The sequence below is a fragment of the Homo sapiens genome, chromosome 12, assembly GCF_000001405.40.
Source record: "Homo sapiens chromosome 12, GRCh38.p14 Primary Assembly".
Lineage (NCBI taxonomy): Eukaryota > Metazoa > Chordata > Mammalia > Primates > Hominidae > Homo > Homo sapiens.
Genome location: NC_000012.12, coordinates 48,994,858 through 49,021,955, shown reverse-complemented (window position 1 = coordinate 49,021,955; position 27,098 = coordinate 48,994,858). Strand labels below are relative to the sequence as shown.

Genomic DNA, 27,098 nt, shown 5'->3' with positions numbered 1-27,098 from the left:
CTGGGCACCTCAGATCATATCTTCTCTGGCCTCCCCTCTTCCTGTGGGGGACTAGCATTGATTCTGCCCTCTTCTCTTTTCAGCTAACCTATGACTATCAGTTTGATTTTGAGGACGATCAGCACAAGATCCCCTGCCACTGTGGAGCCTGGAATTGTCGGAAATGGATGAACTAAGAAGCTTTGAGGCTACCAGGCAGGGGAGTCCCCCTACCCACAACCTCTTCCCTGAAAGGGATGAGGGGGAAGAGAGGTAGCAGCCAGAGCCAGGACCCAGGGTTGGGGCTGCCGGCTGACCCGGAGCCCCTGGAGCAGGAGGCTGGGGCAGAGGGCCCTAGGCCAAGCCCACCCTGGGCACCAGGGACAATCCTCTTCCCCACCACCGGCCCTCAGGCTGGCATCTCTGCCCCCAGCTCCAGGAGGGGCCAGACAGAAGCAGCCATTGGGCATCTCAGGTTTGAGGGGGATATGGGCCGGGAACTACCCAGAAGCATCTGGGAGGCAGCAGGGTGGGGGAAGAGGATGTGTGGCCGGGCCTCACAGCCCTGCTGCTCCCACTGACCTCTCCGGCCCAACTCACGGCTGCAAAGAGACTTGACTAAGCTTGACAATCCCAAAGGCCGGGTCCCACACCTGGCCCTGCCTGCCGGGTCCTGCCCCCACCCTCACCCCCATCCCCCTCCCTCTTGATCTGTCTCTGTTTCCCTCTTTTCCTCTGTGTTTCTGTCTCTCTATGGGTTGTGTTTCCTTGTTTTCCACTCTGACAAATGCAACATGAACGGGAAAGAGGCGCCCAGCTGCCTAGGAGGGCAAGCTGGGCAAGCCGGGCAAGGAGACCCCGCACCCACACCTACCTCATTTAAGTGTTGGATTTTTTGCTGTTTTGAAATGTGAGACCCTCTCCAAGCCCCCTACTGCCCCAACCCTCTCCCCCACCTCACTGCCCTCTTCTGAGTGGGTGGAAGGGGGGTAGGAGGAGGAAGAAAAACAACAACAAAAAATCCATCTTTGTTTTTAATTATGGGCATGGGATGGTGGTTGAGGCAAATGATGATGAAGATTGGGGATGACTGGCCCCTAGTTGCTCTAGGACTTCCTTCTCCATCTGGACATGGGGGCAGGAGGGAGCTAAACCTAGGACCAGGATATCTCCCTCCTGTTTTCCCAACCTCATCATGAGCCTGTTTGCCCTCCAGCCCCTGGACGGGTTGGGTGGGGGGTAGGGTGAGGGCTATCCCTGAGTGGCATGCCCATACCTAGTGAGGCAGGGTGTGGCCCGGAGCTCCCACTTTCCCTCAGTCACCAAACTGCTGCTGGTCTGGTGGGAAGGGGTGGTGATGTGGGGGTGGGGGAGCTTAGTGTCAGCGCGGGGAGGGTGGGGGGTATTTATCTATTTATACATGGGATTGTACATAGTCTTGTGGGGCATGGGGGAGCCGGCTGGAGGTGAGAACCCTCCCCTCTCCCCCCACCCCCCGGGGAGAGCAAATGTAAAACTACTAATTTTTGTGCTTTATATATTCTATATAAATATATCTATTTTCTTTTTACAAAACCAGTTTATAAATGGTAGGGGGGTGTGGGGCGGACACATGGAGCTCCCCTTGTGGGGGGGCCCCCTCCATTACCCGACCTACCGCCCTTTTCCTCACCCCCCACCCCACTCCCCACCCCCTGGCTGTGACTGCTGTAAGATGGGGGTATAGAGGCTGGGCAATTCCCACCCCCTGTTGTATAGTTGGACTATGTTATAACGCACAAAAGAGAGCTGACCCCAGGGGGAGCCAGAGGGTGATGGGTTCCTTGCCTCCCTTTCCTTCCCCTTTCTGCCCAAGCTTGTGCTGCAGTTGAACCTCTTCCTGGGGGTGGGAGTAGGTAAGGGGTGGGTGAGGCCCCAAACCCCTCTCTGGTAGGGAACCGTGGGGATGAAGATGAAGCTTATATGCAGTTCTCTTCTAGGGGCTGTGGGCAAAGGGCATTTTGTAATTAATATTTTCAAGAATCAGATGTCTGGAGTGTAGGGGTGGGCTTGGTGGTGGTGGACGGGCGGGCCTGCTGGAGGGGGAGCTTGGTCGCTGTTGTGATTTTAGGTTTGTTTTTGTTTTGTTTTGAATTTGGGGGGTTGTGGATTGTTGGGGGTAGGGAGATTTTTTTTTTTTAAAGCTGCTTCCTCAACTGTTTCAAGCTGCAAATGTTTAAGAGAATAACAGCCCCCACTCCCACAGGAACCGCTGTAATTAAATCAGACAGTAGGAAGACTGGGCTGCTGCCCTCAAAGCCACAGCCCTTGGATGTTCCTTTTCCGAGAGCAGAAGGTCTAGGCTACAGGGAGGGGGAGATTGGCTCCCGTGAGTCAGGCTGTGTTTGGGGCTTGGGCCCTGGGATTGGGAAAAGGGGATGGGGCAGACTTTGTAAGCATATGCTAGGTATCCGATAGTCCTGTAGAATTTAGTGAAGAAACCTTATACAGTTTTTAATTTTTATATAAACTATAACTCAGACCCAAGCTACAAGGTTGGAATTTTGGTTGGTTTTTTTTTTAAGTACCCTGCCTGTATAATTGCATCAGAATCCCCCACCCCACCCCCCGCCCCCGTGTTTGTATTTTGGGTTGGTTTACACTCGCACATACTCAGTTTTCAGTTTTCCCCTTTACAGTCTTCTCCCCTCACCTCCAGGACCCTCCCCCTTTTTAAAAAATAAATCGCTGACAAGTGTGAATCCCGTGAAGACTTTATTTTGTGTTGTGTGTATCCTGTACAGCAAGGTTGGTCCTTCGTAACAACGGATGAAATGGTTCCCTTTTTTAAAGCGCCCTCTCTCCCTCCACCCTCAGCGCCCCTGTCCTTGGCATGTTTTGTATCAGCGATCATTCTGAACTGTACATATTTATGTTGCGAGAGGCAAAGGGCAAGTTTTGGATTTTGCTTCTTCCAAGTTTGTTTTTAAACGACAAATAAAAAAAGAACATTTTAAATACAAGCGGCTCCGTCCCATGACCCTCGCCGTCAGCCGGATCCGTGCGGTCCGCGAGGACCCGGGGGAGGGCGGTTACCGAGGCCCGCCACCGCCGGAAGGGTGGGTTCCTTGCCTTCCGCCCCAGTCTGGCGACTGCCATGACGTGGGCGGAAGTGGCGTCGCCGCACCGGATGTGGGGCGGGGCCTGCCCCAAGAGAGTTTCCTAAAGCGAGGAAACCAAGCCGGGCGCCTCTTGCAATGGAGACGGTGAGGAGTGCAGGAGGGCGGTCGGGGGCGCTGTGGAGCCTAAGACACCCCCCCAACCCTTAGGAGACCGGGAGGGCCGGGCAGGGGCTGGCGCTGGTGTCTAGCAAACAAAAAGCAGCCGGGTGTCTGCCCTATCCCGTGACCCTGTTCCTCCGCTTCTTCGTTGGGCGCATCTCCTGGAACTGGGCCGCGTCCCCGCCGCCTTTCCGTACGCGGTACCCTTAGCCCAAGCAGGCAGTGACTCCTGGCTCCCTCCTTGGGGCCCACGTATGCCGTGGCAATCTCGGGCCTCCTTTCCTATTGGCACCTCAAGCCCTTTTAGAGGTTTGAGAGCGCAGGGTTGTGAGCCGGCTTTGCTGGGTGAGGCACGGGGCGTCCAGAGGGATCTCCGCTTGCAGGTAGCTCCTGGACCTCGATGGTCTTTCTGTGATCCCTGCAATCCCCGGCAGGAGGACATCTGAAGATCTTTATACTGCGTCCAGTGAAGTCACATTCCCTTAATAAGACCGAGAATTGAGGTTTGCTTGAAAGAGGAAATCTTGCAGTGTTAGAGGCCGATGTGTCCCTGGACAATTTTAGGTCATGGCCCGCTCTGCGACTCTAAGCAGGGGTTTTGGCATAGCTCATTCTTGGCGAGCAGGCATTGACCAATTGTGGCAGGGCCCTGTCACCCTCCCACAGATGCTGCGGGTTGCCTGCTACATGTTTGCACCCACCCTCACTCTCAGGAGTCTTTTTCTAGCGCTCTGTAACCCCTCCCATACACTTCCCTCTCCACAGTTTTTAACCATGTGTCTTCTTTCAGGCAGAGTAACTCTTTCCATCTTGGTTTTTATCATCTGCTACTGTAGTTACGAAAGGACTGCAGGTTCACTTTGCTTTGGATTACATGCCCAGAGTAATTCTTTGCCACACCGTTTCTCTGCTCACAGAGAGGTTGTTTCTTTCAGGTTTTCAAAAAGAAAACCGACCAAAGTACTAAAATGATTCGCAGTTGGTCTCCCAGGCAAGGGAGCCAATTCTGACTAATCAGGATAATCTTAAACAAAAATAAGGAGTCTAATTCCATTAAATTTAAAATGACATGTCATATTCTACTTACTTGTAAATGTATTATGGTTTACAAAGCATTTTTATATAGATTTTCTAATTTAGCCTTTACACTTTATGTACTGGATTAGGCTCTGGGGTAGAAGTTAAAAAGAGGAAAAAGAAAACTCAGCCAGGTGTGGTGGCTCACGCCTGTAATGCCAGTACTTTGGGAGGCCAAGGCAAGTGGATTGCTTGAGCTCAGGAGTTCAGCATCAGCCTGGGCAACATGATGAAAGCCTGTCTCGACAGAAACAAAAATACAAAAATTACCCAGGCGTGGTGGTGGTGGTGTGTGCCTGTAGTCCCAGCTACTCGGGAGGCTCAGGTGGGAGGATCGCTTGATCCAAAGAGGTGGAGGCTGGAGTGAGCTGAGATCATGCCACTGCACTCCAGTCTGAGTGACACAGTGAGATCCTGTCTCCAAAAAAAAAGAAAAGAAAGAAAACTCCTGCTTTGAAAATGTTCAGCCTAACTGGAGTGATGGTGAGGGCAAGCCAGCAACAGCTGTTATTTAAAGGTAGACTATAATAAATGCTGTCATCAATATGAAAACAGAGGACTGTGACAGAATAGCTGAGAGAAAAATTACTTTGGACCTAGGAGAGGGCACTGCAAATTGAGAGAACAGTGTGAGCAAGGGCACTGAAATTGGGGTATGTAGAGAACTGGGGGTGAGCCAGCGGCATGATGTTGCTGGCTTTGGATTTTGGTCACAGTGGGAGAAAAGACTGGAAAAGCAGGCTAAGATCAGGTTGAAGGTATTACACACCATGCTAAATTTGAACTTTGTTTTGTAATAGGGGACCCATGGAAGATTTATGAGCAAGTCAGTGAATGTCCTTTAGGAATGTTCATAGCAGCTTTCTGTACATGGACTGAGCTACTTCGAAAAGTAAAGTTTCTTGTTAATGGGGATGAAAGTCCCTTCCAAATCTGAGATGCTTTGGTGAACAAACTTGGTGAAAGCATGAAAGATAAATTGAAGAACAGATAGATTTGGGCCAAGGACCCCAGTTTAAACAACGTTGCAGAGGTGAGAGGTAAAAGCCTAAATTAAGGCTGTGATATTGGCAATGAGAGAGATGGATCTGAGACATTTCTAACATACCAGCTTAGCTGATAAGTGTTAAGAAGACAGCTGTGCAAAACAAAAAAACAAGATGGGAACCACAGCGAGAATAATAGGATTGGAGGGACAAATGTTTTGTTTCGTATTCAAGCATTTGAGGAGTCTCTGTGACATCTATGGTTGTCAAACAAATAATTGGAAATGTAGATCAGAAGTTTGGAAGAAATTGCGAGTCTATTTGTCAGATGTAGACTGTGTCTCTGTAATATTTTGTACTTGCGTGGTACAGTGGTACTTTCTCAGGTCCCTTATGTTATTAAAAGTAGAAAGGAGGCCAGGAGCAGTGGCTCTTGCCTGTAATCCCAGAATTTTGGGAGGCCAAGGTGGCCGGATCGCTTGAGCCCAGGAGCTCAAGACTAGCCTGGTCAACATAGCGAGACCCCATCTCTACAAAAAAATACAAAAAGTAGCTGGGCCTGGTGGTATGTTCCTGTAGTCCCAGCAGCCCGGGAGGCAGAAGTCGGAGAAGCTGGGGAAGTTGAAGATGCAGTGATCTGTGATCATGCCGCTGCACTCCAGCCTGAATGACAGAGTGACACCCTGTCTCAAAAAAAAAAAAAAAGGTAGAAAGGAGTAGATGTAATTACATAATCCCCCCTCTGATATGGTGAAACAGGCAGAAAGTTAAAAGTCACGGCCAGGCTCGGTGGCGCATACCTGTAATCCCAGCACTTTGGGAGGCCGAGGCGGGTGGATCACGAGGTCAGGAGTTTAAGACCAGCCTGGCCAACATAGTGAAACCCCGTCTCTACTAAAAATACAAAAAAAAACTTAGCTGGGCGTGGTGGCAGGCATCTGTAGTCCCAGCTACTTGGGAGGCTGAGGCAGGAGAATCGCTTGAACCCCGGAGGCGGAGATTACAGTGAGCCAAGATCGCATCACTGCACTCCAGCCTGGGAGACACAGCGAGACTCTGCCCACCCGCCCAAAAAAAAAGTCACATATGCAGTTGTGTTTGACTCTCTTATGTTGGTATCTGTATCTCTAGTTAGCTCTATGTTTCTTTCCTCCCTCTGTAACTTAGTCTTGGGCATATCTGTTCATATCAGTGTGCATCATTCTTTGAGAATTAAAAAACAAAACAACTGTGAATTATATGCAAAACCCTGTGCTTGGTGGTATGGGAGATACAAAGTATAAGATAGTTCTAGGTTTCCAGGAATTTATAATCTGTTTGGATAGATAATGAACAAAATAACTGTAGCACAGTACAGTATATATCATATGATGGGTAAATTCTACAGAAGTAGCTGTTTTTGTGCCTTTGTGTAGATCTTTGTGAGACTCTGATATATCATGTGTCTATCTTTATCACAGCCCTCTCTCCCACTTATAAGTGATGAGGCTGTTGTTCTGATAGTCTTGCCAAAATGGCAGGCCAAGCTGACAGTCTTATGCAGTCCAGTGGGAAGAGGGAGATTATCCCCCTTACTCCCTGCACTCTCCCCTAGCCCATTAAGGGAGAAAAGTTTAGGGCTGTCTTAAACTTCCCTGGTTTAGGAAGTTTGTCAGCCAACCTCCCAGGTTGAAGTTTTTAATGTCATGTTACTACAGAAGCTATGGGGATGAAGTATGGTTTTATTTTGGAGATATCACCCAGAGAAAATGGAGCCAAGACTGTTGATGCTAGCAGATGAAAATTGTTGTGATCCCTTCTGGGTTCCTAAATAACAATGGCATTTCCAAATGTTCCCACTTGAGGGAGCACAGAAATGGTTCTAAGTTTTGTCTAGTCAAAGCACTCTCTAATCTCAGACTATCTTGGGAAGGGAAACTTGGAAAACCAGCATCCCCTGGCTATAGCAGCCTTTGACTCACAAGGGTGCTGAGTGGACTCAAGTTCCCAGTTTCAGTACATTCGTGTTCCTTATCCACCTCTCAGTCATTCAGGTTTTGACTGGCTGACAGTCAGCTACTGGGATCCTCCCCAGTTGTGGCTCTCTCTCTGCCATGGAGCTAGACAATGGTGGAACCAGTGTCTGTGGTTCTAGTGCCTACAACTATGCCTAGTGAGTGTCTGTGTTTGGGGAAGACAATGCTGTCTCTCTGGCTTCCATGTTTTAATAAAGTAGATCTGTGAGAATCTTGTAGGGGTTAGCCCTAAGCTCAGATCTTTAGTCTTAGCTTTTAGGACCTAGTGTTTCATTAGGCAGTATAGTGTACAAGAACATGAGCTTTGCAGATAATGCTCGTTCAGCTCAGAAGTGGATAGAAGCATTTCTGGAAGGCACAATATTGTAGCAGTATTGGTTTCTTCTCTTCTGTGATTCCAGAGAGGTAGAATTTCATCAGAATGGAGTAAATACATTCAAAAATTTTATAAAAATGGCCGGGCGTGGTGGCTCATGCCTGTAATCCCAGCACTTTGTGAGGCTGAGGCGGGCAGATCAGTTGAGGTCAGGAGTTTGAGACCAGCCTGGCCAACATGGTAAAACCCCATCTCTGTTATAAATATGAAAATTAGGTGGGTGTGGTGGTGCACGCCTGTAATTCCAGCTCTCAGGAGGCTGAGGCACGGGAATTGCTTGAACCCAGGAGGAGGCAGTTGCAGTGAGCCAAGATCACGCCACTGCACTCCAGCCTGGGCAACAGAGCAAGACTCTGCCTCAAAACAAAACAAACAAAAAAATTTACAAAAATGAACACTGCCAAGATAAACCCAACCAAACTCTTCATCAGTTATAAGAAATTATTTTGTTAGGTATACGTAGTTTTTTAAAAATTTGTTTTTTCAAGTATGTTATTTATTAAAATTTTGATGTAAACAAAAGCAAACCACAAGCTCTGGAACCAGAAGATAGGTGTTTGAATGCCTACTCCACCCCTTATCAGCCATGTGACCTTGGGCAAGTTGCTTAATGTCTCTTGACCCTCAGAGACAATCTGTGAAAATAAGGCTAATAATAGTATTTACCTCAGGGTTGTTATGAAGATTAAATGAGATCATATTTCTGAAGAGCCTTATAAGGCTGGGTGCAGTAACTCGTGCCTGTAATCGTAGTGCTTTGAGAGGCCAAGGAGGGCAATCACTTGAGCCCAGGAGTTCAAGACCAGCCTGGGCAACATGGCAAAACTCCATCTCTACTAAAAATACAAAAATTAGCTGGGTATAGTGGCTTGCACCTGTAGTCCCAGCTACTCAGGAGGCTGAGGTGAGAGAGGATCACCTGACCCCGAGGAGGTCAAGGCTGAAGTGAGCTGTGATCACACCACTGCACTGCAGCCTGGGTGACAGAGCGAGACCTTGTCTCAAAAACAAAAAAAAAAGGGTTTGGCGGGGGCAGTGGCTTTATAGTGCTTTAAAGAAAGTCATTATTTGTTCACCAGCCCTTCCCCTAATGTTGCTAGGCTAAAATGGATGGAACCAGGTTAAGCTGAATCTGTTTTCTTATCTCTCCAGGTCATTTCTTCAGATAGCTCCCCAGCTGTGGAAAATGAGCATCCTCAAGGTAAGTTTACTGAAGAAAGGAAACTGGGCATGAAAACAATAGCCTGACCCTAACAATGTCTTCAACAATGCTTTTGAATCTCTCCCCTGGAAAAATCAAAGCAGGGCCAGATAATGTGCCAAACCACAAAAATCAGTGACAGTAGTTTGGCAAGATCACCCAGGAATAAATCTTGGGCAGAGTGGGGATGATTAATATCTTCAATTATCAAACCACTTGAGAGAAACATCTGAGGTACAGGCAAAACTTCCATAGGCAACTCTGGGCTGGCTACCATGTTTTAGAAGTCCTGGGTATTTTCTGCATAGTCCAGAAACAGTGCTACCAGGATTTTATCACCCAGCAAGCTCACTAAAGCCACTGAATGTACACCAAAAATTATGCAAAGGGCTTGGTGCAGTGGCTTACACCTGTAATCCCAGCACTTTGGGAGGCCGAGGCAGGTGGATCACTTGAGCTCAGGAGTTTGAGACCAGCCTGACCAACCTGGTGAAACCCTGTCTCTACTAAAAATACAAAATCAGCCAGGTGTGGTGGCGCATGCCTGTAATCCCAGCTACTTGGGAGGCTGAAGCACAATTGCCTGAACCAGGGAGGCAGAAATTGCAGTGAGCCAAGATCGTGCCATTGCACTCCAGCCTGGGCAACAAGAGTGAAACTTCGTCTCAGAAAAAAAAAAAAAAGAAAGAAAAAAATTAGGAAAAGGCTCTTAGAACTAATCTAGTAATAGAAGCACTAAACCTCTAAAATCCAGAGCACAGGGAAGACAGTTCCAATGCTGGCCAGTGCCTATTTTATGTTTCTGAGTACATTTGCATTAGCACCAAGGCAGAAACTAGAAACTCAAATTGCCTACATGGACCAAGCAGTGAAGTGAACTACATATGAAAAGAAGGCGACAGCTGGGCCGGGCATGGTGATTCATGACTGTATTCCCAGCACTTTGGGAGGCCAAGGTGGGTGGATCACCTAAGGTCAGAAGTTGAAGACCAGCCTGGCCAACATCGTGAAATCTTGTCTCTACTAAAAATAAAAAATTAGCTGGGCGTGGAGCTGCATGCCTGTAATCCCAGCTACTCGGGAGGCTGAGGCAGGAGAATTTTTAGAACCTGGGAGGCAGAGGTTGCAGTGAGCCGAGACTGTGCCACTACACCCCAGCCTGGGCGACAGCACAAGACTCTGTCTCAAAAAACTAAAGGCAGCTGGGTGTGGTGGCTCACGCCTGTAATCCCACCACATTGGGAGGCCAAGGCAGGTGGATCACCTGAGGTCACAAGTTACAGACCAGTCTGATCAACATGGTGGAACCCCATCTCTACTAAGTAGAAAAAATTAGCTGGGCTTGATGGTGGGCGCCTATAATCCCAGCTGCTTGGGAGGCTGAGGCAGGAGAATCACAGAATCGCTTGAACCTGGGAGGCAGATTTTGTTGCAGTGAGCCGAGATCATGCCATTGTACTCCAGCCTGGGCAACAAAAGTGAAACTCCGTCTCAAAAAAAAAAAAAGGCGACAACTATCTAGGTCTGGTCAACTAAGACCTATTTTTGCCAGATCTTCAAGTCTGGGCACAGTGTAACACCAGCACTTTGAGAGGCCAAGGCAGGAGGATCACTTGAGCTCAGGAGTTCGAAACCAGCCTGGATAACTTAGTGAGACCCTGTCTCTACAAAAAATTAAAAATTTTTTGCACTCCAGCCTGGGCAGAGAGTGAGATCCTGTCTCAATTATAAACAAACAAACACTGAGAAAGCCAAATCCAATATGTTTATGGGCCTGTGGCCTGAATGATAGTATTTAACTATCAATGTAGTGTATGTATCTTCAACTGGTGTCCAAAGACATGTTCTTGGGAGTCTGAATTCTCAAGTTTGAATAACAATGGTAGGCTTCCAGTTAAAGACGGTAGATTGGTAGATTGGGCTGCGCGTAGTGGCTCATGCTTGTAATCCCAGCACTTTGGGAGGCTGAGGCGGGTGGATCACTTGAGAACAAGAGTTTGAGACCAGCCTGGCCAACATGGTGAAACCCCGTCTCTACTAAAAATATAAAAATTAGCCAGGCATGGTGACATGTGCCGTAATCCCAGCTACTTGGGAGGCTGAGGCATGAGAATCGCTTGAACTCAGGAGGAGGAGGTTGCAGTGAGTGGAGATCGCACCACTGCACTCCAGCTTGGGTGACAGAGCAAGACTCTGTCTCAAAAAAAAAAAAAGGTGGTACATTGAATATATATTCCCAAAAACTCCCCTAAAACCACCATAAAGGAATTTTTTTAAAGAAAAAGACACAAACACACCATAGGGAAAACAGGAGAGGAGATAATAGCAATGAATTTTTGGAAGCTGAAAAGCAGACAAAAGAGTGATGAATGACTTAGACCTGAGAAAACTGAATTATAACTAGCAGTGAGGAAAGCCAAGAAGCATTGAAGGTCTAAGAAACAGTCAGATCCCAAGACACCCTACCCCATTGAGTACAGTGGGCAACTCTGCCTCCCAACTGTGGCAGAGACTGGAAATCTGGCAAGGGACTCGGGCACAGCTTAGGGCTGAAGTACTGCACTGAAAACAGGAGCATGTAGTGAACTATACTCGATGCTGAGCCTCCAGCCCTTTCCCCCTTTTCAGTTTCCAGAGCGCTGGCAGAAGAGCCTTCACCCTCCAAGCATGAAATTGAATAATCCTTCTCTCCAGAATCCTCTTGAAGGGAAGTCCTAAAATATATAAGTATTGAATGTTCCCTATCCAAATGACTCACTGTCAGCAAGGCTCACTTACACACTTAGAGCTTCCACTCAGCTTTAAAGCCTCCACTCTTAAGTTATGGTTTAAGTTCTCCTTTAAACTAGGGATTACCAAACATCTAAAGAAAGGATCTGTGAAAAAAAGTGATCCAAACTGCCCCCCACCCCACTCTGGAATGTACCTTTGTTTTACTCTGAAGGCTGTATCTCCCTGGTAAAAAATAAATAAAAATGAAAAAGCAAACTGCCTCTCCCAACCTCATGTACACACAGAAGAAACAAACAGGAAAAAAGCAACTGGAAGGAAAAGATGAGAAGAAAACTTTAATAACATTAATATAATCTTAGATAAAGGAACATATTTCTCAATACCTGTGAAAGTAGTATATCTTTAAAGAAAACAACAGCCGGGCACGGTGGCTCACGCCTGTAATCCCAGCACTTTGGGAGGCCGAGGCAGGCAGATCACCTGAGGTCAGGAGTTTGAGACCAGCCTGCCCAATATGATGAAACCCTGTCTGTACTAAAAATACAAAAATTAGCTGGGCATGGTGGCATGTACCTGTAATCCCAGATACTCGGGAGGCTGAGACAGGAGAATCGCTTGAACCCAGGAGGTGGAGGTTGCTGTGAGCCGAGATTGCACCATTGCACTCCAGCCTGGGCAACAAGAGTGAAACTCTGTCTCAAAAAAACAAAAACAACAACAACAAAAAACCTTATTTCCACCATGAAACAAGTATAGGATACAATTTTTTAAAGAAGGAATTTTCAGAAAACAAAAAGGAACTCTTGGAAATTAAAAATATAGTAGCAAAAATTTAAACCCAGCTGGAGGTTTCAAAAATCAACATGAGGAAATTTCCCAGAAAGGAGAGTTAAAAATCAACAAAGTAGAAAATAGGAGAGAAGGTGCAGTGGCTCATACCTGTAATCCCAGCACTTTGGGAGACTGAGGCGGGAGGCCAGGAGTTCAAGACCAGCTCAGCAACACAGCAAGACCCTGTCTCTACAAAAAAATAAAAATTAGCCAGGCATAGTGGCATACACTTGTAGTCCCAGCTACTCAGGAGGCTGAGATAGGAGAATTGCTTGAGCCCAGAAGGTCAAGGCTGCAGGTGAGCCATGATCTCGCCATTGTACTCCAGCCTGGGTAACAGAATGAAAGCCTGTCTCTTTAAAAAAAAAAAAAAAAAAGGAGAGGAAAGATTCCAACAACCCACAAAACAAACAAACATTTAAAGGATCAGTCTAGGAGGTCCAGTATCTAAATAGGAGTCATAGAAAAAGAAAAATGGCAACACAGAGGGAAGGAAATAATTGAGGAACTAATTCAAGAACATTTATTGGAACTTGAGGACATTAGTTTTCATATTGAAAGGACCCATCGAATATTCAGCACAATGGATGAAAGTGACCCACCCAAAGCACAGTCATCCTGAGATTTCAGAACACTGGAAACAGAGATCCTATGAGTTTTCAGAGAGAGGAAAAAAAAGTCACATACAAAAAGTCAGAATTGCCTTGGACTCTCAACAACACCAGCAGCTAGCAGGCAATGGAGCAATGCCTTCAACATTCTGCAGGAAAACACATTCCAAGCTTTCCTGCAGATTCTCTATTCAGCCGAATTATAAATCCAAGGATGAGGGTAGAATAAAGATATCTACAGGCTGCAAGGTCTCAAAAACACATACCTCCCATGCACCCTTTCTCAGGAAGCTACTGGAAGATGTGTTCCACCAAAATAAGGGAGTAATCAAAAAAGATAAAAACGCGATATAGGAGCACCAGTAGAGGACAGACGTGAAAGGGGTACCCAGGATGGTGATGAAGAAAGATCCCAGGATGACAGCAGTGCACACCAGACAAACCAGCCCAGATTTGAGCAGGTCAGAAGGCTCCAGGGAGATTTCTTTGGGTAGTTTAAATTTTGATAGACTGTCTAATGCTTTTGAACCTCTTAAAAGGAGATTTAAATAGTTGGTGAAGCATTTGGGGGTTGGATTAGTTATAAGAATTATACATAGAAAATTAAACAAAAGGACAAGACATTAACTCCAGGTAAAACAAAGTTGTGAAGGAAGAAAAAAAAATCAGAGTTTACTATTTGGCTTATCTCTGAATAATAAATATTCAGTCAAAATGATTTAAATACTGGCCGGGTGCAGTGGCTCATTCCTGTAATCTCAGCACTTTGGGAGGCCAAAGCGGGCAGATCACATGAGGTCAGGAGTTCGAGATCAGCCTGGCCAATGTGGTGAAACCCTGTCTCTACTAAAATACAAAATTTAGCCGGGCATGGTGGCGGGCACCTGTAACCCCAGCTACTTGCGAGGCTGAGGCAGGAGAATCGCTTGAACCTGGAAGGCTGAGGTTGTAGTAACCTGAGATCGTGCCACTGCACTTCAGCCTGGGTGACAGAGCAAGACTCCCTCTCAAAAAAAAAAAAAAAAAAGATTGAAATACGGATATAACCAACATTATGGTTTAGCTCCTGGAATAATGAGGAGAATGGGAAGTACGTGTTTGTGGTGGAGTCCTAGTAGGAGAGAGAACTAGAAATTCTCATCTTCTTTGGTAGATAGATGATAAATAATGCCCCAAAATGAAAAAAAAAATGGAAACTAGCAATACAAGCATGTTATTTAAGGACATAGAATTAAGTACCAAAATAATCAACTAAGGTAGATAGATGTTCTCATCTCTGGGGAAGGGTAGTACAGGGAGGTGGGTTGCAAGGAGTGCAATTTTTTCTTAACAAAATTTGTAAAACTGTTGGACTGATTTAACTGTGTGTCTATATAACTTTGGTTAAAAAAATAAATATTAAAAACCAAATTGATTAAAGACTTAAGAGCATGAAGTTTGGAAACAGATCTGGGTTTGTTTGAGTCTTTCTTGCCACTTATTAATGGTGTGACCTTGAGCAGTTTATTTAACTACACCTATTTTCTCATCTGAAACATGAGGACATTACTTACACATTTGTTGTAAGGATTAAATTATGTAATTTTTTTTTTTTTTTTTTGAGACGGAGTCTCACTCTGTCGCCCAGGCTGGAGTGCAGAGGCACAATCTCGTCTCACTGCAACCTCCACCTCCTGGGTTCAAGCAATTCTCCTGCCTCAGCCCCCTGAGTAGCTGGGACTACAGGCACGTGCCACCACGCCTGGCTAATTTTTATATTTTTTTAGTAGAGACGGGGTTTCGCCATGTTGGCCAGGCTGGTCTCAAACTTCTGACCTCAGGTGATCCACCCACCTTGGCCTCCCAAAGTCCTGGGTTACAGGTGTGAGCCACCACGCCCAGCCAATGTAATTTATTTATTTATTTATTTATTTTTTTGACACGGAGTTTCACTCTTGTTGCCCAGGCTGGAGTGCAATGTTGCGATCTCGGCTCATCGCAACCTCTGCCTCCCGGGTTCAAGCAATTCTCCTGCCTCAGCCTCCCGAGTAGCTGGGATTACAGGCATGCGCCACCATGCCCGGCTAATTTTGTATTTTTAATAGAGACAGGGTTTATCCATGTTGGTCAGGCTGGTCTTGAACTCCCGACCTCAGGTGATCCTCCCACCTTGGCCTCCCAAAGTTCTGGGATTACAGGCATGAGCCACCACGCCCAGCCTCAATGTAATATTTTTAAGTGCACGTAGTATAGTATGTAGCACATTCAAGCTATTATTTTGGGAGATTACTTCCCTAGTTTAGAGCAAGCAATTAAAATCACAGGAATAGAAAAAGGTAAACTAGCCAGGATCTCCCATTTGTCTAGAGTAGGTGGGATGATTTCTGATTTACAGGGTGATCCCAGAATGGACTATCAGGGTGTTTTGAGCCAGGTTGATTGAGCACTGGGCTCCAACTTATTGTTAATGAGAAATGGCCCAACTTGGACCATGACTTTCCCATTTGCAGGTCTTAGAATAATTTTTTTTTTAATTGAGACAGGGGTTCGCTGTGTTGCCCAGGCTGGCCTCGAGCTCCTGGGTTCAAGTGATCCTCTGCCTCAACTTCCTGAGTAGCTGGGATTACAGGTGCTTGCCACCATCCCCAGCACAGTCTTGGAAGAATTTTAAGAAGCTTACTTCATTGAAAAAAGAGGAAAGTGAAAATGTGCTAAGTATATGAAAGGGAAAGCTTGGATTAAAGATGAGAAACATTTTTAGACTATAACATGTTAAAGAGAGATACTATAGGCTTTATGTTTTAGTCAACTTCTTTTACCTATAGGGACCAATAGATAAAGTCTTAACCTGGAGACAGGGGTTGGATGAAATGGTTTCTAAGAGGTTTATCCAGGTTTTGTGGAAACAATAGGAACAAGACAGATAAAATAAGGGGTCTTATTAAAAAATAATGCTCTAAATATTTGAGATACTAGAACACTATTTTGTTTTCTGTCTCTTTTGATTGGGAGTTTTTATGTGGAAGGAAGCTACTAACTATCCCACCCTATGCAGAGACCCCAGAATCCAACAATAGCGTGTATACTTCCTTCATGAAGTCTCATCGCTGCTATGACCTGATTCCCACAAGCTCCAAATTGGTTGTATTTGATACGTCCCTGCAGGTGGGTGAAATCCTCTTTTCCCTTCCCCCTTTGGAGCCTGTGGTTTAATACCTCTCATCCTATCTCATCCTAAGGGTAATATCCTTATCCTTCTGTGAAGTTAGTCTCATGTTTTACCCAACATGCCCAAACACTGTTCTTTTTTTACAGTCCTGCCCCTGTGGATTTGCCTTTATGATTATTACTGTCTTGGCTACAGGTGAAGAAAGCTTTTTTTGCTTTGGTGACTAACGGTGTACGAGCTGCCCCTTTATGGGATAGTAAGAAGCAAAGTTTTGTGGGTAAGCAAAAGTTTCTGGAACACAATATTATTGGCATCTTGTGCTGGGCAGGGAGACAAGCTTCAGGCAGTGCTGAGGGCTCTGTCTTGTCCTCTAGGCATGCTGACCATCACTGATTTCATCAATATCCTGCACCGCTACTATAAATCAGCCTTGGTAAGGAACCTTAACCCAATGACCAAAATCACTTTCCCTGCCCTAAATCCCTCATTCTCATTTCTTTTTCTCCAAGCAAGCCACGAGGGCTTAAGGAAGCAGAGAGATCAGGTCTCAAATTCTGTTGCTTCTGCTTTCAGGTACAGATCTATGAGCTAGAAGAACACAAGATAGAAACTTGGAGAGGTATGTAGAGAATTGGGGTTATAAAAGGATAAAGGGATGGCGGGTTTCTGGGAAACACTTTTCCATGGTGGTATTTTGTGACCCATCCCTTTTCCCTTCAGAGGTGTATCTCCAGGACTCCTTTAAACCGCTTGTCTGCATTTCTCCTAATGCCAGGTGAGTTCCAGTTACCCATCTGTCCAAAAAGCGGAAGAGATTTTGTCATCAGCCTAGCTAATGCCCTAGACACCCAGGGAAAGGGGAAGAAGAGAGAAAAGACACACACACACACACACACACACACACACACACACACACACACACACAGTCTCTCTCTCTCTCTCATTCTCACTCTCTCTCTCTCTCTCTTTCTCTTTAAGTCTGGCCTGTACACTGCCCCCCTTCCCTAACCATCAGTTTTCCCTGTTGAGCAATACACTGTATGGACCTGTTTAATCACCCCCAGCCCCAGCACTGTGGAACTTATTATCTCCCACCCTCTCACAGCTTGTTTGATGCTGTCTCTTCATTAATTCGGAACAAGATCCACAGGCTGCCAGTTATTGACCCAGAATCAGGCAATACTTTGTACATCCTCACCCACAAGCGCATTCTGAAGTTCCTCAAATTGTTTGTAAGTGCTCCTCAGCCCAGTTCTTTTTTCTCTTTTTTCATTGATTGATTGATTGATTGATTGAAAAGAGAGACGAGGTCTCACTGTGTTGCTCAGGCTAGTGTCAAACTCCTGAGCTCAAGTGATCCTCCCGCCTCAGCCTCCCAAAGTGCTAGGATTACAGGTGTGAGCCACTGCATCCAGCCCCACTTCTTATTTATTTATTAATTTATTTTGAGACAAGTTCTTACTCTGTTGCCCAGGCTGGCGTGCAGAGGCGCTATCATGGCTCACTGCAGCCTCCAACCTCTTGGTCTCAGGTGACCCCCGACCTCAACCCCCAGAAGAGCTGGGACTACACGTGTGTACCACCACACCTGGCTAATTTTTTGGTATTTTTTATAGAGATAGGGTTTTGCCATGTTGCCCAGGCTGGTCTCGAACTCCTGGGCTCAAGCAATATGTCCCCCTCAGCCTCCCAAAGTGCTGGGATTATAGGCATAAGCCGGCGCACCCAGCCCTTATTTCTAATATACTGGGTTGGAGGGGGTATCCAAGGGTGGCTTTGGGTGCCTTGAAAGTTAAGCTGATGGTTCTTTCCTCAGATCACTGAGTTCCCCAAGCCAGAGTTCATGTCCAAGTCTCTGGAAGAGCTACAGATTGGCACCTATGCCAATATTGCTATGGTTCGCACTACCACCCCCGTCTATGTGGCTCTGGGGATTTTTGTACAGCATCGAGTCTCAGCCCTGCCAGTGGTGGATGAGAAGGGTGAGAGATTGGGCAGAAGGAGAGGGAGGGAAGATCCAGGCAAGTCAGGGTGGCTCTGGGAAGATCTGCTTTCCCCTCAGCTTAGCCAGGAGGGTGATTCTATGAGTAGGGGGAGCTTTAGATCCCAGATCCTCCTTACTGAGCTGCCTCTGTCCCCCTAGGGCGTGTGGTGGACATCTACTCCAAGTTTGATGTTATCGTGAGTGATTGTGGAGGGTCTGGGAGGTAGGGAAGTGGTGGGGGGGGGGCACTGTTAAATATGGAGAGGGAGAAGGGAGTCTCTTCTGTGATCTAAGGGTCTTAGAAGCTTCCAGGCTTTCAAATCCTATTTGAAAAGGAATTGAATGAGTTGGGTGTGGCTTGTGGCTGACAATTGCCCTGAATCCCTCTGTTGAGGTTGGATGGGTTCAGGGTTTGGAGGCTGGCTCTCTTGCTTCCCTGCAAGCTCCTTCCTCTGTCTCCCCAGAATCTGGCAGCAGAAAAGACCTACAACAACCTAGATGTATCTGTGACTAAAGCCTTGCAACATCGATCACATTACTTTGAGGGTGTTCTCAAGTGCTACCTGCATGAGACTCTGGAGACCATCATCAACAGGCTAGTGGAAGCAGAGGTAGGGAGGCCAGCAACCCTAAAGGAGCTGAGGGGAGCAGCCTTGAGAGTGGGGTTTGGCAAGGAGAGTAGGGGCAGAGGGGCTTCCCCTGAGGCCAGCACTAAACATTCCCTTTCTCCCTTGTTGCTCTGTGCCAGGTTCACCGACTTGTAGTGGTGGATGAAAATGATGTGGTCAAGGGAATTGTATCACTGTCTGACATCCTGCAGGCCCTGGTGCTCACAGGTGGAGAGAAGAAGCCCTGAGCTGGGGGAAGGGGTCATGCAGCACCAGGGGATATGCCCAACTCACTGCCTGCTGGAAGCTCTGTGGGAATCAGATGAAACTTGAGGGAATTGTGACTCTGTTCCCTGTTCAGGGTCCCCTGCCCTTCTATCTGGGAGCTAGGGAAGGTATGGGGGAGGAAAGAGAATGGATTTATAGCTACCCTTACCCTCACACATACACTTGAAAAAACTTTCAGCCTAGCCAGTTCTAGCCCCTGTCCTCTTAGATATATCCCCCTTTCTGGGTGAACTATAGGCTCTGTGCCTCTCAGACAAATTCTGATCTCTAAGAGATCCCCAGACCTCACTTGCCTCTGCCTCCATCTTGGCCCTGATTCAACCCTAAGATAATAGCACAACAAAATTCTTCATAAAGATATTTTTATTCACCTGTTCCGTGCTATATGGAGGAGGCCAAGTCCATTTAGTGACATTTCTTCCCATAATGTGAGTGGGGAGGATTGTGGGGAGGAGGGGCTTTGGGTTCCTGTGTTTGTGCATATGAAGGGAGATGGGGGTTAGGTGGAGGAGGAGAGCAGCGTGGTTAGCTAAGGTTATTGCTTTTTGTGGCAAATCTAATTAAATGACAGGAATCTCTTCACGATATTGCAGTGTTTGATTTTTACAGTTGATGGGTACTACCTTCCTACTTTATATGGCTTCTTCAACTGGTCATTAACAATAATAATAACGTGTGTACGCACACACACACGTACACACACACGAGTAGACAGACTTGAGGGTCTCCTTTGGGCAGAGAATCCTGCCACCATTATCAGCTTTTCTTAGTTGGGGAAGGTTGGACTGTTTGGCTTTTGCTGAGTTGGCACTATCTTTTTTTTTTTTTTTTTTTTTTTTTTTGAGATGGAATCTCACTCTGTTGCCCAGGTTGGAGTGCAATGGCGCAATCTCAGCTCACTGCAACCTCCGTCTCCCGGGTTCAAGTGATTCTCCTGCCTCAGCCTCCTGAGTAGCTGGGACTACAGGCGCGCGCCACCACGCCCAGCTAATTTTTGTATTTTTTAGTAAAGACGGAGTTTCACCCATATTGGCCAGGCTGGTCTCGAACTCCTGACCTTGTGATCTACCTGCCTCAGCCTCCCAAAGTGCTGGGATTACAGGCATGAGCCACCGCACCCGGCCAGCACTATCTTTAAACCTACAAATCCCTTGCCTCTTCCAAGGTGAGAATGAGCTGGATGGTGGGAGAACAGCAGGGCAGTGGTCACTCCATCAGATCCATTCCCTGTATTGAAAGCATGTAGACCCAAACAGCAGTCAGCACCCAACATCAGAAGAACTGCTAGACTGGAGTATGAGCTAAATTTGGGTGCCAGCTCACCCCAGCCTTGCAGGTATGATACAGTTTCCCATCCAAGCCAGGAGCAATTTCGGAGTCATTCCTTGCCCCTGCCCCACAGTGCCTAACCCCTCTGATAACCCTCCAGCCAGGGCATACTGGGTTCTCCTGATGGAACACAGGGAAAAGCATCAAGGCCCTCATCAGATTCGACCTGAGGAAGCTTATTTTAAAAAAAGAAGGTGGCCCTCATCAGAGCTCAGCTTTCAGTGTTGCATCATGGCTGTGGAGGAGCCCCTGCTTCTGCCTTCACCCCTTTACAGCTCTCACAGCACATTCTCAACCTTGGGGGAGGAAGGCTTCCAAGTTATTAGAATTAGAGTATGTTTATGTGTCAGGAGGGTAAGCACATGGTGGAAAGGACAGATGGCCCCTTATGTCACATTCCCTCATTAAGGAAGATTTGCCTAGGGAGGAGGCAAGGGCTTTAAAAAGCCTCAGGACTCTAGTGGGACCTAGGGTGGAAGGAAGCATCTTCGAGTCAAGTCATCAGTGCAGCTGGCAGGTGTGTGGAATCAAGGGGGGTAGGGTGGATGGGACGGGATGTTTGCGTTCTCTCTAAAGGTTTGTGTTAGGGAGCAGAGACCTGGTTTTGTTGAGTTGTTTCTCAGTCTGTCAGTCTCTGCCCCACAACCTTTCTGGTTGTTCCCCATCCCCTTAAAAGGAAGGGTCTGGACCCAAAGGGCTCCATGTACATTAGTGGAAAACTAATTGGGAACTCTTGCTTCTCCCATTTCCCTCTAAAACCCAACCTATCCGTCTCAGTGTGAGGATGAAGCTGAGGGAGAGACAAGGGATGAAATTTGGGAGACTCACAAGCTTCTATTCTTACCTATTCCTCTCCAGAGAGGCAAATTATCCCTTCTTCCCGAGGAACCATGCCCCACACACTCTCCCCTCTCTCTGCACTGCTCCCCTCCACTGAAGCTGCTGCCATGGTTGCCAGGCATGGTTGCTAAGTCTCTGCATGGAAGGGTTGGCGTGGGCTGTGCTGCCACTAACATTACCATGGTGAATCAGGGGACACCTGGTATAAGCTTAGGAGGAGGGATCATGTGGATATAAGCAACAGCCCCCCAGGACAGAGGCAGCCCAAAAGGTGAGCATCTGGAGCACCACTTAAGGTGGGGACTGAGTGAACTAGGCATTGTGGTGGTGGTGAGGGGGAGTTCTACATTGAAAAAAATAAAGGCCACTTTTATCATTTCAGTTGCTAGGGGATTAGTTTTGCCAAGCAAACACATCATTTCTCCTCCATCCCCCTCTGGAAGGGTGAGAGTGCATAAGCACTTACTCTGTCCTCCATAAAGCTGGGCAGGCTGTGTGGGCACAGAACAATATAACCCCCAAATCCTGGCTTCTGGATTGGAGGTGAAAGCCTGCTGCTGTGGGAGGGCTCCCTGGCTGCCCAAGGACAAACATGTAGAATGGAACTGGTAGGGCAGCTTGGGTGGCCAAGGCAGACGCCTGTGTCCTGCTGTACCAGCAGTCCTAGGCTGCAGCACTGAGCTGACAAGGAGATACGGGTGTAGGGGTCACCCTTTTTGAGCTTAGGGAAGGCAGCTCTCCCTCAGAGTCGCACAAAAGCTTGGTAAAAGCCACCGCCTCCTCTCTCCACCGCATGGGAGCTGGTTACTCATCTCATCTCTGCACCCGAACAGCCACTGCCGCTAAAAATAGCCCCCCAGCCGTGGGCCAGCCCCTCCTGCACCCCAGCCCCATGGAAACCAGCAGAGTGGCAGGCAGAGACCTTGAGTTCCAATCTCATCACTCTATGTTGGGGAAACTGAAATCTGAGGCAGGAAGCCAGGGGCAGAACCCTGGTGGTCAGGCAACCTGACAAGCAGGAGAGTAAAGGGTTAAAACGGCAGGAAGGTTGAAGAAATAGGGGCGGGGGAGGGGGCACTGTCAGCTTGGCAAGAATCATAAGTCCCTCCCCCGCCCACTCGTGCGATCCCATCAGGCTTGGGGGACAACAGCAGTGGGAAGGGGCGTCCAATCCCGGGCCCCAGGGGGCGGCCGTGCACATGGGGGAGGTAGCAGCGCGGAGCAGTCCGCGCGGTGTCACATGCGCGCGCACACACAGAGACAGGCACACACACGTGTGCCCGGGTATATATAGTTCCCAGTCCCCGGGCCCGCGGCTCTGCAGTGGGCGCCGGCTCCCTGGGCTGGGAGGGGGCTCCTGGGGCGGGTGGGAGGGTGGGGGGCCGGGGTGGGGTGGGGCAGGATGCTGGATGGCCCACTGTTCTCCGAGGGGCCTGACAGCCCCCGGGAGCTCCAGGATGAGGAGTCTGGCAGCTGCCTCTGGGTGCAGAAGTCCAAGCTATTGGTGATAGAAGTGAAGACTATTTCCTGTCATTATAGTCGCCGCGCCCCTTCTCGACAGCCCATGGACTTCCAGGCCAGCCACTGGGCTCGCGGGTTCCAGAACCGCACGTGAGTGAAGCAGGGGTGAGGGGAAGAGAGTGGTGGGGCGGGGAGTGGGGTCCGGACCTCCCCGCAGGCACCAGCGAGCACTGCTGGTCCCCCTTCTCTTTCCCACGCCTTCCACCTCTGCCCGCTCCCGAGGGCTGGGGCCTGACTCATCCCGTTGTTTGGGGGAACAGAAGTGGGTGTGAGAAAGGGCAGGAGGTGAGATGGGGCAGACGCTGTTAAAGTGTGCATGGAGAGATGGCGAGGAGTCCCGCTTCGACTTCAGTCCTAACATATACGCACGTGCACACGCGCACACACTCACACACACCCCTTCACATGGCTGCCCCAAGTGGTCTCCAGTGCTCCCAGCTCCCCGGACCTCGGCTCCCTTCCCCCACAAACTGCTCACCTGGGTTCCTGCTCATTGTCCCAGGTGTGGGCCGCGCCCGGGATCCCCACAGCCGCCGCCCCGCCGGCCCTGGGCCTCCAGGGTGCTGCAGGAGGCGACCAACTGGCGGGCGGGGCCCCTGGCCGAGGTCCGAGCTCGGGAGCAAGAGAAAAGGAAAGCGGCGTCGCAGGAGCGGGAGGCCAAGGAGACCGAGCGAAAAAGGCGCAAGGCTGGTGGGGCCCGACGGAGCCCCCCGGGTCGACCCCGCCCGGAGCCCCGCAACGCCCCTCGGGTGGCCCAGCTGGCAGGGCTCCCTGCTCCCTTGCGGCCGGAGCGCCTGGCGCCTGTGGGGCGAGCGCCCCGTCCATCCGCGCAGCCGCAGAGCGACCCAGGGTCGGCGTGGGCGGGGCCCTGGGGAGGTCGGCGGCCCGGGCCCCCAAGCTACGAGGCTCACCTGCTGCTGAGAGGTTCTGCCGGGACCGCCCCACGACGCCGCTGGGACCGGCCGCCACCCTACGTGGCTCCACCTTCTTACGAAGGCCCCCATAGGACCTTGGGGACTAAGAGAGGCCCCGGGAACTCTCAGGTGCCCACTTCATCAGCCCCAGCTGCGACTCCAGCCAGGACAGACGGAGGGCGCACAAAGAAGAGGCTGGATCCTCGGATCTACCGGGACGTCCTCGGGGCTTGGGGTCTCCGACAGGGGCAAGGTCTCTTGGGGGGATCCCCAGGCTGTGGAGCGGCCAGAGCAAGGCCAGAGCCCGGCAAGGGGGTCGTGGAGAAAAGCCTGGGGCTGGCTGCTGCTGACCTGAACAGTGGTAGCGACAGCCATCCCCAAGCCAAAGCTACAGGGAGCGCAGGCACCGAGATAGCTCCTGCGGGGTCTGCAACTGCGGCTCCCTGTGCCCCGCATCCCGCTCCCAGATCCAGGCACCACCTCAAGGGCTCGAGGGAAGGGAAAGAAGGAGAACAGATCTGGTTTCCCAAATGCTGGATTCCCTCCCCTAAAAAGCAGCCGCCCCGCCATAGCCAGACACTCCCCAGACCCTGGGCTCCCGGAGGCACCGGATGGAGAGAATCTCTGGGTCTTGGAGAGGGGGCAGGACCGGAGACCCTGGAGGGTTGGAAGGCGACCCGCCGTGCCCACACCTTGCCCCGCAGTTCCCAGGGCCTGTCCCGTGGGGAAGGCGTCTTTGTCATTGACGCCACGTGCGTAGTGATACGATCCCAATATGTTCCAACCCCCCGAACCCAGCAGGTGCAGCTTTTGCCCTCTGGGGTGACACGCGTGGTGGGGGATTCCCCCAGCCAATCGAAGCCCGGCAAGGAGGAGGGTGAAGGGGCCACGGTCTTTCCTTCCCCTTGTCAAAAGCGGCTGTCGAGCAGTCGCCTTTTACACCAGCCCGGCGGGGGCCGCGGGGGCGAAGCTGAGGGCGGGAGGCCGGGGGACTCCACACTGGAGGAGCGCACTTTCCGCATCTTGGGGCTCCCGGCCCCCGAAGTAAACCTGCGGGACGCCCCCACGCAGCCAGGTAGCCCAGAGCACCAAGCCTTAGGCCCAGCAGCTTCGGGAGCCCAGGGCAGAGCCGAGGGGTCGGAAGTGGCGGTGGTCCAGCGGCGCGCCGGCCGGGGCTGGGCGCGGACCCCAGGGCCCTACGCCGGGGCCCTGCGAGAAGCCGTGTCCCGTATCCGCCGCCACACAGCCCCTGACTCGGACACGGACGAAGCTGAGGAGCTCAGCGTCCATAGCGGCTCCTCTGATGGAAGCGACACAGAAGCCCCGGGCGCCTCCTGGCGGAATGAGAGGACCCTGCCCGAGGTTGGAAACAGTTCGCCAGAGGAAGATGGGAAGACAGCGGAACTGAGCGACAGTGTCGGGGAGATCCTAGATGTCATAAGCCAAACCGAGGAGGTCCTCTTCGGGGTGAGGGACATCAGAGGGACCCAACAGGGAAATAGGAAGAGGCAGTGAGAGGCCCCTTCTTGTATTTGTGTCCCCAACGCATCCATCCTTGGGTCCACTGGTCCCCATTCTTCCCCACAGACTTCCTTTGCTTCTCTTTTCCTTGTATCTTTACCCATACCTGTTCTCATCCTTGAAATATAAATGAAAGGAAGGGAAGCATATGCCCATTAATGATTTTGTTTCAGGAGAGGTGAGAATGAGCAGATTTAATTAATGTCTGTTATGTTCAGGGCACAAGGGTGAGCTCTTCGCAGGGGCTGATGCACTGGGTGTGGAGCTGAGCAGAGAGGCCTAACCAGGATCAGGCAGGAGGGCAGGGATGGTGGCAGCCATAGGAGGGCAGGGTAGGGTAGGGCCTCTGAGGAGGAGGGAAAAAGTGAAGGAGAGGCTTTGGACCTGGTGACAGAGTGATCAGATGACAGAGGGGTTCTTGGGAGAAGAGGCATAGGTCCAGCAACAACCAACAAAGCAGAAGGAGGGCTCACCTTGGTGTCACAAGTCTTGGATTTCAATCCCAACTCTGCCACTGAGTTGCTGGTTGACTGAGGCCAGTCACTTTCCCTCTCCAGGCCTCCAGGCCTCCTGGTATATAAAATGATGGTATTCTAAGGTCCATCCTTCCGTCTCTGACATTTTGAGATCTTTGGAAAGGACTCTATCTCATCCTCCCCTCGACAAGCCAAGAATGAGAATTGGGAATAAGTGAACAGAGTTTGAGGGTTTCTGGGCGGCCTCCGTGTCACCCAAAGTCATGATCAATTCAGGAGACTGCCCAAGGCTTGCAGAAGAGGTAAGGGAGTGAGGCACTCCTATCCCAGTCTCCCAGGTTTGGTTGAGGGCTCCCCAAGGCAGGGCAAGATAGCGGCCCTGTCACTGACCCTGGCCTGTGGTGGTCTGAGCTGGGGAGGGAAGGACACCAATGAATCAGCTTGGGACCTCTTTAGGCCTTCCCCTTTTCCTCCACCCCGATGCTCCTTAGTGATGCTCTGAGGCGTGGCCACGATCTCCCTCCCAGGTGGTATCGCCCACCTGAAAAAATCCTGAGAATTTCTCCCATCTTGGCCTCTTCCAGAAACCGGCCAGGCAAGGAAAGAGGCCGGTCACCAGAAGCCAGCAGGCGTGGGGTGTGATACTCTCTATAGCCACTACAGGGCGCGCGCAGGTCGCGGATCTCCCCAGTTGCTAATCCCGGCTCTGCCACTCAATCCTATCCCTAGTTCCCGAGCGCGGGTCCCCCGCCTTGCAGTCTCCAGCCGTGCGGGGCCGGGAGCAGGCCTCCGGCCTCCCAGACTTCTAGAGCCCGCCGGGCCCATCTTTGTACTCATCCACCCCAGCCGGCTTGGGACTCAGACACCGAAGTCTTTTTTTTTTTCTCTCCGATCCTTGGACACCTCCTCTGTCTGCCATTTATTAGCCATGTGAACTTGGCCACATCACTTCACCTCCCTGAGCCTCAGTTTCCTCATCTGTCAAATGGGGGTTTATAAACACCTACCTCGCAGGGTTGTTGTGAGGATTTAATGCGATAATGTATGTAAAGCGCCTTGCACACTGCCTGGCACACAGTAGGCGCTCAATAAATCTAAGCTTCCCTTTATCCAGCCTTGGCATCGTCTTCCTTTCACTGACCCTTTCCCCACAGTGGCCCTCCCCCGGGACTCCTCTGCTACTTCCCGCTCTGTGTGAGGGGAGGGGGCTGCTTTCTTCGTTGGGAGCTCCTGGCCCACCTCTTTTCTCCCCCAGCCGGGACTCTCCCTTCCTTGCCCCCAGCCCACCCCTGTCGGCTCTTCCCACTGCCCTGGCGCCCTCCCCCCACCCCCCATTCCGGGCAAGGGCTGAGTCAGCCGGGGTAAATTTAGCTGCCGGCTCCGCGGGCGCGGGGGCTTCT

The 27,098-nt window shown here is 49.8% G+C and overlaps 3 protein-coding genes and 1 long non-coding RNA gene across 10 annotated transcripts in view, besides 11 other annotated features; 3 read left to right on the top strand and 1 right to left on the bottom strand.

The window, feature by feature from the left end:
* Positions 1–2,978, top strand: part of KMT2D (lysine methyltransferase 2D) — a 41,817-nt gene extending 38,839 nt beyond the window's left edge. The window contains exon 55 of the mRNA NM_003482.4: positions 84–2,978. Within this exon, the coding sequence (NP_003473.3) occupies positions 84–176 (93 nt within the window). The 3' untranslated portion in view covers positions 177–2,978. The remainder of the gene's footprint in view (positions 1–83) is intronic.
* On the bottom strand, positions 2,716–23,609 carry DDN-AS1 (DDN and PRKAG1 antisense RNA 1). Of its 2 annotated transcripts, NR_147178.1 has the most exons (3): positions 23,266–23,609; positions 12,567–12,647; positions 2,716–3,720 (listed from the first exon to the last, which is right to left on the bottom strand). It is a non-coding gene; the product is annotated as a DDN and PRKAG1 antisense RNA 1 (long non-coding RNA). The 2 variants fall into 2 exon arrangements; NR_147179.1 differs by lacking the exon at positions 12,567–12,647.
* Positions 2,777–2,976: an enhancer, noted in NCBI's record as "active region_6302". NCBI's record gives its function as "activates an Ori minimal core promoter by ATAC-STARR-seq in GM12878 lymphoblastoid cells {active_cell/tissue: GM12878}" and the evidence as "EXISTENCE:reporter gene assay evidence [ECO:0000049][PMID:35858748]".
* PRKAG1 (protein kinase AMP-activated non-catalytic subunit gamma 1) lies at positions 3,180–19,682 on the top strand. Of its 6 annotated transcripts, XM_011538562.3 has the most exons (13): positions 3,180–3,224; positions 8,846–8,894; positions 13,357–13,530; positions 16,104–16,213; positions 16,413–16,494; positions 16,592–16,650; positions 16,791–16,836; positions 16,938–16,992; positions 17,323–17,449; positions 18,034–18,199; positions 18,361–18,398; positions 18,666–18,812; positions 18,950–19,682. In XM_011538562.3, the coding sequence occupies exons 4-13, from the start codon at positions 16,142–16,144 to the stop codon at positions 19,055–19,057; spliced, it is 900 nt and encodes a 299-aa protein (XP_011536864.1). In that variant the 5' UTR covers positions 3,180–3,224; positions 8,846–8,894; positions 13,357–13,530; positions 16,104–16,141; the 3' UTR covers positions 19,058–19,682. The 6 variants fall into 6 exon arrangements, with proteins under 6 accessions (XP_011536864.1, NP_002724.1, NP_001193638.1 ...); NM_002733.5 differs by lacking the exon at positions 13,357–13,530; NM_001206709.2 differs by lacking the exon at positions 13,357–13,530 and having other exon boundaries at positions 16,565–16,650.
* Positions 3,549–4,139: an enhancer, noted in NCBI's record as "NANOG-H3K27ac-H3K4me1 hESC enhancer chr12:49411600-49412190 (GRCh37/hg19 assembly coordinates)". NCBI's record gives its function as "activates a minimal SCP1, AML or CMV promoter by ChIP-STARR-seq in naive H9 embryonic stem cells {active_cell/tissue: H9 hESC(naive)}" and the evidence as "EXISTENCE:reporter gene assay evidence [ECO:0000049][PMID:30033119]".
* Positions 7,056–7,350: a silencer, noted in NCBI's record as "tiled region #4712; HepG2 Repressive non-DNase unmatched - State 13:Ctcf". NCBI's record gives its function as "represses a minimal TATA promoter and a strong SV40 promoter by Sharpr-MPRA in HepG2 cells {active_cell/tissue: HepG2}" and the evidence as "EXISTENCE:reporter gene assay evidence [ECO:0000049][PMID:27701403]".
* Positions 21,916–22,210: an enhancer, noted in NCBI's record as "tiled region #4008; K562 Activating DNase matched - State 1:Tss". NCBI's record gives its function as "activates a minimal TATA promoter and a strong SV40 promoter by Sharpr-MPRA in K562 cells {active_cell/tissue: K562}" and the evidence as "EXISTENCE:reporter gene assay evidence [ECO:0000049][PMID:27701403]".
* Positions 22,356–22,650: a silencer, noted in NCBI's record as "tiled region #2140; K562 Repressive non-DNase unmatched - State 1:Tss". NCBI's record gives its function as "represses a minimal TATA promoter and a strong SV40 promoter by Sharpr-MPRA in K562 cells {active_cell/tissue: K562}" and the evidence as "EXISTENCE:reporter gene assay evidence [ECO:0000049][PMID:27701403]".
* Positions 22,581–26,807, top strand: DDN (dendrin). Its single transcript, NM_015086.2, has 2 exons — positions 22,581–22,877; positions 23,290–26,807. Exons 1-2 carry the CDS (start codon positions 22,669–22,671, stop codon positions 25,214–25,216), a joined length of 2,136 nt encoding a protein of 711 aa, NP_055901.2. The 5' UTR covers positions 22,581–22,668; the 3' UTR covers positions 25,217–26,807.
* Positions 23,300–23,759: a silencer, noted in NCBI's record as "silent region_4421". NCBI's record gives its function as "represses an Ori minimal core promoter by ATAC-STARR-seq in GM12878 lymphoblastoid cells {active_cell/tissue: GM12878}" and the evidence as "EXISTENCE:reporter gene assay evidence [ECO:0000049][PMID:35858748]".
* Positions 23,880–23,949: an enhancer, noted in NCBI's record as "active region_6301". NCBI's record gives its function as "activates an Ori minimal core promoter by ATAC-STARR-seq in GM12878 lymphoblastoid cells {active_cell/tissue: GM12878}" and the evidence as "EXISTENCE:reporter gene assay evidence [ECO:0000049][PMID:35858748]".
* Positions 24,310–24,399: a silencer, noted in NCBI's record as "silent region_4420". NCBI's record gives its function as "represses an Ori minimal core promoter by ATAC-STARR-seq in GM12878 lymphoblastoid cells {active_cell/tissue: GM12878}" and the evidence as "EXISTENCE:reporter gene assay evidence [ECO:0000049][PMID:35858748]".
* Positions 24,600–24,989: a silencer, noted in NCBI's record as "silent region_4419". NCBI's record gives its function as "represses an Ori minimal core promoter by ATAC-STARR-seq in GM12878 lymphoblastoid cells {active_cell/tissue: GM12878}" and the evidence as "EXISTENCE:reporter gene assay evidence [ECO:0000049][PMID:35858748]".
* Positions 26,196–26,490: an enhancer, noted in NCBI's record as "tiled region #4123; HepG2 Activating DNase unmatched - State 4:PromP". NCBI's record gives its function as "activates a minimal TATA promoter and a strong SV40 promoter by Sharpr-MPRA in HepG2 cells {active_cell/tissue: HepG2}" and the evidence as "EXISTENCE:reporter gene assay evidence [ECO:0000049][PMID:27701403]".
* Positions 26,196–26,490: a silencer, noted in NCBI's record as "tiled region #4123; K562 Repressive DNase matched - State 4:PromP". NCBI's record gives its function as "represses a minimal TATA promoter and a strong SV40 promoter by Sharpr-MPRA in K562 cells {active_cell/tissue: K562}" and the evidence as "EXISTENCE:reporter gene assay evidence [ECO:0000049][PMID:27701403]".
* Positions 26,808–27,098: the final 291 nt, after the last annotated feature.

What these genes read in the sequence shown, in the direction of transcription:
- PRKAG1 (NM_001206709.2), top strand. An exon ending in CAAGATAGAAACTTGGAGAG is followed by an intron (nt 16,837 to 16,937) that starts GTATGTAGAGAA and finishes TTTTCCCTTCAG; the next exon opens with AGGTGTATCTCCAGGACTCC. An exon ending in TGAAGTTCCTCAAATTGTTT is followed by an intron (nt 17,450 to 18,033) that starts GTAAGTGCTCCT and finishes TTCTTTCCTCAG; the next exon opens with ATCACTGAGTTCCCCAAGCC.
- DDN (NM_015086.2), top strand. Translation starts at nt 22,669, where the DNA reads ATGCTGGATGGCCCACTGTTCTCCGAGGGGCCTGACAGCCCCCGGGAG. An exon ending in CGCGGGTTCCAGAACCGCAC is followed by an intron (nt 22,878 to 23,289) that starts GTGAGTGAAGCA and finishes TCATTGTCCCAG; the next exon opens with GTGTGGGCCGCGCCCGGGAT.